This window comes from Homo sapiens, chromosome 16, assembly GCF_000001405.40.
Source record: "Homo sapiens chromosome 16, GRCh38.p14 Primary Assembly".
Lineage (NCBI taxonomy): Eukaryota > Metazoa > Chordata > Mammalia > Primates > Hominidae > Homo > Homo sapiens.
Window position 1 is genome coordinate 60,652,772 of NC_000016.10, and position 8,651 is coordinate 60,661,422.

Consider the following 8,651-nt stretch of genomic DNA (forward strand, 5'->3'; position numbering starts at 1 on the left):
TCGGAGGTGTCATAGTCAGAAGTTTCATTTGAATGTAACAAATTAGAGATTACACTTATCTACATAGTTTACAGGGAGTGATGAAAAATATAAGAGATCACTGAAATATAATATATGAAGGGCATTTAAGAAGACATGTGTGTTCATGATTCTCTGTAAAGACCCAGTGAAACCTCACTTAGGGTGTGGAGAAGGGAAAAGAAATCTAGGAAAAGATAATCCACGGAGAAGATACTATATTTGAATCTTGAACATAGCCTATTATGCCTTTCCATAGTTGATCTGAAGGAGCAGTTTATTCAAAGGCAAAGAGGCATGAAAAACCACAGTGATTTTGTAAAACAAGTATTTTAAAACAGCCAGATGCGGAGTGAAAGAGGAAACTGAAAATTATATCTGTTGCATTTTTGGTTACTATGCCATCTATTGAGTGACTTCTGTACCTGGCACATTGATGTCTTACAGTCAATATTATTTAAAGCTGAAATAATATTGTAATCTATGTACGGATTAGACAATATATACTTTGAAGATATAACAGAAACCAAGCAGACATTGTTTTTTGCATTCTTGCACTTATAAATATAAGAATTAATGAAAAAATAGAATGCAAGATAACTGCAGTGGTTAAGTGTAATAATATAAGTAGACAAAGGATTAGTAATGACATAAGTAGGTAAAGAAATAGAACGTAACACATGAAAGGTGTTTTATTTTGTAAAGGGATGTCAGGGGAAAGATAGGAAATATCAAAGCAGAGAGAGCAACATGTATGAAGGGGCGCTAGTGGAAACAAGCACCATTTGGCTCTTGGAAGAACTGCAAGCCACACTGGATGCAGGGAAATAAGAAGGCCATGATCAAAGATAAAATCAGAGAAGTGGGAAGAGGCAGACCGTGTTAGAAATGTAAGCTAGCATAACTGAAATAAATTTAATTTTAAATGGAATATGAAAGCATTGGAAGGTTTTAAACAGGGTGATGACATGACTTGAATTTACTGAAATAGTGACAACTCTGATTGTTCAGTGGAAGAGCCACTGTGTCTGGTGTCAAGAGCTGAAATAGGGACACATATTGGGAAGCTGTGTCAGTGGATGAGGTAGGAGATGTTGGTGGCTTTAATAGGGCACAGAGCCAGGGAAAAGTAGTCAGATTTGGAATATGATTATTTATTTATTTATTGTTTCCAAAACTTAAACAAATTTCTTTGAACACTTGGAGAGTTGGATACAAATGCCTGATAACCATGTCAGGGAAGATTACTTCCCAACTATCATTGGGGAAGATTACTTCCCCATTGATTCCATTGACCATTTCTTCTTCTCTACAGAGGTCTGTTCTCAAAGTCTTACAAAGTAAGAGAAAATGTGTCTGCTCCTTTACTTCCATGTTTGTTGGAATAAGAGTGATTTGATGACAGTAATTATGTGCCCAAATTTTTCATAACTGTTTGGTGATTATTAAAGTTTTGCAGTGAATGGTTTTCCCATTGGAGTATTACAACCAAACATTTATCCTAATTTGGTTGTGGCAAGTTCATTCACATGAAATATATAGTCATTATTAATCCTTTTCTTCTCCACCAACAAAGCTGCTAAGGCATTTTTCTGCACATCAGAAGATAATACATCGTAACACTGAGAGGCACCTTGATTGAGAAGCTGACATGTATTTTCTAACTGCAGCCAAGTACTATTTCTAAGTAAAGTAGTTCTCTTCTTTGCTCAAGAAGTATTTGCAAATTATCTGATAACATTCCACGAAAGTGTAAAGAGTCCTATTAAAAATTCTAAATGATATTTCCTTTATCTGTAACTAGAATGTTCTCCTCACATTTACAAAGCAGGTAACAGCCTTCTTCAAAGTCCTTTAGTGTGTTTCCTGGAAGGAAGATGAACTCCTCTGAAAAAAAAAAATCACATAGGAAGAAAAAGCAATTGTAGACATCCTCTTTCCTGAAGCCAGTTGTCATCTGCACTGTTATAGCTACAAAAGAAGGATGGACAAAAGTGTTGAGCAACAGGTTCCTATAAGCCAAGCAATGAGGATAGTGATCTACTGGAAAATAACTCCATCAGCCACTTTTGAGTCTCCGGAGTCCACTTTCTGAATCACCTGGCCTTTGACAAAGCTGGTAAGGTCGGAATGCAGAAGTATGTTGGACTGGACATGTCTTTGGTAGCTTTATTATTGGGCCAAATGGGAAACCTTCTGAACACCTGGGGTGAGCCTTTCAGCTGTAAAATCTTTCCCGCCAGAGCATGAGTGTCCATGGATGGCTAGTTCTGAAGCGGAAGAGAAACTATTAGGCCCAGGGTCTCAGAACCAGGCTTTCAATTTGCAGAAGCTGCATTTTGTAGGCAGCTTCAGTAACAAAGGCATCCACGCCCTCAGATTGCTTCTGAAGAATGTATCTTAGAACCAGGTTCTATGGGCTCTGATTCATCTTCCCAGCTGTCAGAGATCAAAGTGACATAGCATCTCCAAAGTGTGCATGAAAGTTTCAAAAATTTCAGAGAGAATCTTTCTGGCTTTCAACAATCCAATTGTAGATTGTTATGGCTTAGCAACCTCTAGAAACATATATACATATATATATATATGTATTTCTATATATATATAGATAGATAGATATATTCTTCTAATAACTTAGCATAACTATTGCTAATTGGGATAAGGCAGGTCTCAAAAACTTTTTTAAAAAATGACTTCATAACAACATTCAGAACACTACATCTAGGAGTCAGTATCTTGGCAGAGCAGCTTCTTTTCTCTTCTAGGAAAGATTTAGCAGACACATAACCATTTCCTAAAATAGTTTTTACATATTCAGAGAATAGAGCCCAGTGGAGTTTATTGCCACCATAACAGCACCACATGAAAAAGGCACCTGACATTCACACAGCTCACCAACTGGTTTCATTTTCAGGAAGTCCATTCCTGCTGCTATAACTGGCACAGACAAATCATGCTTGTATGGGAGAAAAGACAACACCAGAAAGTCAACGTAACTTTGATGACTGAGCAGAAGAACAAGATGCTCCTGGTTGGCTTGCTACAGTTTCTGAATACCTCCTACATTTACACACACCTTTGAGAAAATTTGTTTAAATATTTTGCTTAAGGGAAAGACAAAAAACTGAATGGCTCCCAGACGCAGTCTGTGACTCATTTGATCCAAGATCTCACTAACTTCCTTTGGAATTCCTTAGAAAATTGTTTAATGACTGTTTTAGTGCCTTAGTGTTGCTATAAAGGAATACCTGAGGCTGGGTAATTTATAAAGAAAAGAATTTTATTTGACTTAGGGTTCTTCAGGCTGTACAGAAGCATAGTCCATGCATCTGCTTCTGGTGAGGCCTCAGGAAGCCTCCACTCATGGCATAAGGGGATGGGGAGCTGTCCTGTCACATGGTGAGAGAGGAAACAGGAGAGAGAGGGAGGGAAGGAAGGTGCCAGGCTCTTTTTAACAATAAGTTCTTGTAGGATAAAACTTACTCATTACCAGGAGGACAGCACCAAGCTGTATTGAGGAGTCTGCTGTCATGACTCAAACACCTCCCACTGGACACCACCTCCAATGTTTGGGGTCAAATTTTAACATGAAATTTGAAGTGGAGAAACATCCAGCCTATAGCAATGACATAATAACTCTCTTCATAATTAAGAACACTATATTTAAGATTACTTGGCTTACATGGAATAATCCCCTTATAAACAAGAGGTGCAAATTTCAAGTCACTGACATGCCTCCTCTCCTCTACAATGTTTTCAAATTCATGCCACCTTTTGAGCTTCTTTGAGTCGAAGAGCATAATGGTTTTAGGGCTGGTGGAACCAATGGATAAATGAGAGTAGATGAGCTGGAAGGGTCTCTGGTATGGCTGCTGACTTGGGCAGAGCCTGGGACTCTTATGCTAAGTGGCTGTGGTGCTGCCACTGGGGGAGTTTCTTTCATGTAGGGTGGTGACACACTTTGTGCTTGGTCCACATGACCCTGGTCGCCTTCGTCTTAACCCTGGAGTACATTTTAAAGACAAAAGTAACAGGCTTTACCGAGAGACTGTAGATTGTGTGACATTAAAAGAGAGGACTTGATACAATTTTATGTTGCCTAAACATTATCCTATTTACTGAGATGCTCATAATTCAAGGATGAGCAATAAATTATGGTAGAAATTATAAGTCTTGAGTATTTAGTCTGGAGATTAAAAGAGTTACCAGTATAGTATTGTCATTTAAAGCTGGGAGACTAAATGAGGCAATTTAAAAGGCTAAAACACATGGAGAAGAACACAGAGTTTGTTTTTGGCTCTATTTTCTATTTTATTTAAAAGTGCTATTCAAAGTACTTTGAAGTAGCCATTAAATGAAATAATTAATGTATACTTAATCATCACAAAACTATAGATGATAAATGTTGTCTTTTGTATTATACAAAGAAAAAATTATGACAGTAAGTTAAGTAAATTGAACAAGATTGCACAACCTTTGGAGAGAGTTGAAATACAAAAACATATTGGACACTCCTCGAAGCCTGCTGTATACCGTGCTACTCAAAGAATCTTCAATCTCCAGTAATAGCATCAGCTTGAGCTTCCTGGAATGTTAGGCCAAATGGGAAACCCTCTGAACACCTGGGGTGAGCATTTCAGCGTAGTCTTTTCTACAAGAGCATGAGAGTTCATGGATGGCTGGTTCTGAAGCAGAAGAGCAACTCTTGGGCCCTTCATACCACAGCTTGTGGGGGATTTTATAACAAATTCAAGGTGATGCTTTGGTATATCCATTTGCCTTCTTCTTGCATCCCTCAGATCCCAGGATCCTCTATTGTAACTTTCACTACAGCTTGCCCTTCAGTTTGTAAGTATTAACTCATTTGAGTTATCTCTTAGATTGTAATTTCCATGCAATTTTTATTATAATGTAAACATCTAGCACAGTTTCTGGCTAGCATCAGCACTTGCTGAGTAAATGAATGAATTTTTTTTTTTTAATGCCAATGTCTCTCTCAGTTTAATAAGTTAAAACCTCTGCTTTCCGGCCGGGCGCAGTGGCTCACGCCTATAATCTCAGCATTTTGGGAGGCCGAGGCAGGCGGATCACGAGGTCAGGAGATGAAGACCATCCTGATGAACATGGTGAAACCCCGTCTCTACTAAAAATACAAAAAAAAAATTAGCTGGGCATGGTGGAGGGCACCTGTAGTCCCAGCTACTCGGGAGGAGACTCCGTCTCAAAAAAAAAAAAAAAAAAAAAAAAACAACAAAAAAAAGCACCTCTGCTTTCCTCTCCCTTTTTCATTTTTAAGATTTTTGGTCAGAAAATTAACGTTGACTGCTCTTAGTAGGCCAGCTCATCATCTGGAATTTGACTTTCATGAAGCACATTTGGCTCAAAGGAAGGAAACTATACCTCTCTCTAAGGCATGGTCTCTTAAAGAAAAGATGGCCTAATTAACTGGCTAGCTGGTTAAAATATATATTCCAGGACTCCAATCCAAAAGATTTAGAATTACAAAGTCTTTAAGGAGCACTCAGGCAATCATGCAGCACTCCAGGGTTGAAAATCTATACCCTATCCTAAGGGATTTTCTCTAATGTACCTGATCATTCCCCTCTGTATTGATTGGGAGATCTTTGTCCTTAGCCACTTCTCTAAAACACAGACTTGGAGTTGATAGTGTTGGACCTAAACATCAGTTGCTATTCTTATAGGGGGCAAAATCTTTCTGTGAATTTTTTAACCTTTCTAGTATTATTTTTAATTCTTTTCAAATACATTACTTTTTATTCCCTCCACTTGAAGATACTTTTATTATTTTGTCTTTTTAAAATGCCAAGTGATGTACTTAACATGTAGCGCACTCAATAAATGGTAGAAGTCGTCACAGATTTTGTTTATTATTAGTAGTAATAGCTTGCATGGTGTCTAGGGGACTGACCAGTTAGGCAGGGATGTGATATTTGTAAAGGTGTCCAGTACCATCCATGTTGTGAAGAAGACACTCTTTTTTAGGTCAATAATACAACATTGCTAAGGGATACATGGAATATAGATGCAAATAGCATACTAAAATATAACAAAGAATCTGGCTTTTAGTTTTATAATTAAAGAATTGCTTGGCTGCTTGTGTATGGGGCAGACAGTTCGGCCCCATACTGTTTCTATAACAACCATGACTATATCCAGGTAGACTAGAAGATGCTGGTTCTTCACAGTATTTCTCTAGTGCAACCTGAATAACTAGAATTAAATTCTGGGTCACATGATTGCAATTATGTCTGTTGGAATTTTATGTAGAGTTGGGATATTTGTCCAACATGACAAAACAGGCTGAGTTTTTCTGAAACGGTGAGCAAATCTTTCTTTCTCCTCTTTACACCCTGAATGGAGTGGCAAATCCTGTCATTCTTACTCCTCTCTGGGATAATCCCCATGGCTTACTTCTCATTGAATTCTAGGGGTGGTGGAAAGGCAGCACTCGCTTATGCATTTTATTTACTTGTAAGTAAGAGCCTTTCTTCTTTGTTCAAGGGTGAATTCCTTTAGAGAACCAGAATCTGCAAAAATCTTTGTCTTTGGAACTGGAAATTAACAATTTAACTTAAAAAACATCATTGGGACAGTTTAACCAGGGTGGTGGTGGGGTTCTAATTATTTTTTTTCAAATGAAAGTAAAAATGGTGGCCAGAAGTTAAGCCAAGTATTAGATTCAAAGAGAAGGATAAAATAAAATTTATTTTTATTTTATGGCAAAATAAAATTTATTTTTATTTTATGGCAAAATAAAATTAGGAGAATAGAGGACATAGTGTGTTAAACAATATAGCTTAGTAAACATTGCTTAAGACTGAAGCTGTTAGAAGAACCTTACAGAAACCTGCAACATGTGCTTAGAGATAAAAAAAGTAATTCACGTTTTTGAGTGTTGTCCACTAAGCACTATTTTATGTATTTTGCATATAATGTCCCATTTAATTTTCAAACTATTTGAGATGTTGTAGGAAATAGAGGTACCAAGAGTCAAAGTCAATTGTTTATAGTTCCAAGTCTACCTTTAGTGCAGCACTGTTTAGTACAACTATCTGTGACTATGGAAATGTTTTTAATCTGTACTGTCCCATATGGCAGTTACAAAACCCATGTAACTATGTAACTAATGAGTACATGAATGTGGTTACTGTAACTGAGAAAATGCCACATTTAGCTGGTGGCTTCCAGATTGGACAACCTAGCTCTGGAGCTGAAGCATGTAACCATAATGCCATACCACCAACTTTTGCCGGATAGTCTTGCAGTACTAGGTAGTGCAATCTCCATATTTGTAATAACACTTGAAAGCTAAAAAAGGAGCTAGCCATTAAAAGATGCCAGAAAACAACACTCTGGGCCTAGGAAACACAAGATAAAGATGAACAAATTAGACATATATTTTTAGTGTTCTCTTGGAATTTAGTGGATTTGAGGAAAGATTGAAATGGGATGAAGCTGGAGAGGTTAGCGAAAAATTGTACACCCAGAAGTTTAGCTATCTGGAAAGTGGAGAGAATGCCTGCTTCCCCTGAGTATGTGTTTTAATAATGACAACTTTTGACTACTTATTTATTTTAATTTATGCATTATTTAAGATAACACTGGCTACAGCAACAAATGCCTCAGAAGGATATATCTGTTCAAACATATGAGAAGTCTATTTTTGCTCACCTGAAATAAAGATCAACAGGCAACTCAACTCCAAGTGGTAAGTTGAGGAATCTAGGCCCCTTGTTTCTTGTGGCTTGGCCACTTTCCACGAGACCATTGTATTATCTTTTATCCTTCTCAGGAAAGGAATAAAGGACATCAAGGATTCATGAAGCTTTCTGTGAACCATTCCCAGTTGCAGTGAGCATCAATTCTACTCACTACAGGAACAGAATATTACACGAGCTAGTCACATGATCACCAGAGTAGCTGGTAAATGTGGGTTAGCTATAGATTTAGGAAGAAGATGAAATGGGTTTTTTGCACAGCTCTACTCTCAGCCACATAATAGTTGTTACTTAAACCTATGATGAAATAACATTAGGACAGGCAGTTTGAAATACACAGCTGAAATATCATTTTCAGACCAAAACATACAACCGAAGATAATCAACACGTAACACGTGTTTTATGTCATCACTCAATTCTTCTTAAATTTTCAGGTCCCCAGTTTACTCACTTTGATATTAATACTGGCATTTGGTACTTATAGGCCAAGGCATTCAAGACACAAGGGTAAGAGAAGAAGTACGCATTTGGCATTCAGGAGTTTGGACCAAACTGGGATCTGGCAATCATGTAGAGCATGATGGGAGATAAGAATGAAAGAGTATTTTTGAAATAATCACGGAGAACCTGGACTAGTCATATTTTATTCTTGCTTTGCTCACCATCATGTACTTGGGACTTCTTAGTCCCCATTGGGCTAATTTGGATTTTGGAAAGTGGACAATTTCCAATGCTTGTTCAGTACTTCCCAATTGACAAAAATATTTCTTCTAATGGGAGTTTGGAGTACACCTCACCTTAAAATGCTCTTGGGCAATGGAGAAAAGACCCAGACATAAAAATAAAATGACAAATATAAAACAGAGAGTCACAGATGCTCATAGTTGATAGTG

General features: G+C 37.4%; 1 pseudogene; it reads right to left on the reverse strand.

Moving 5' to 3' along the window:
• On the reverse strand, window positions 1,300-3,203 carry GNPATP (glyceronephosphate O-acyltransferase pseudogene; annotated as a pseudogene).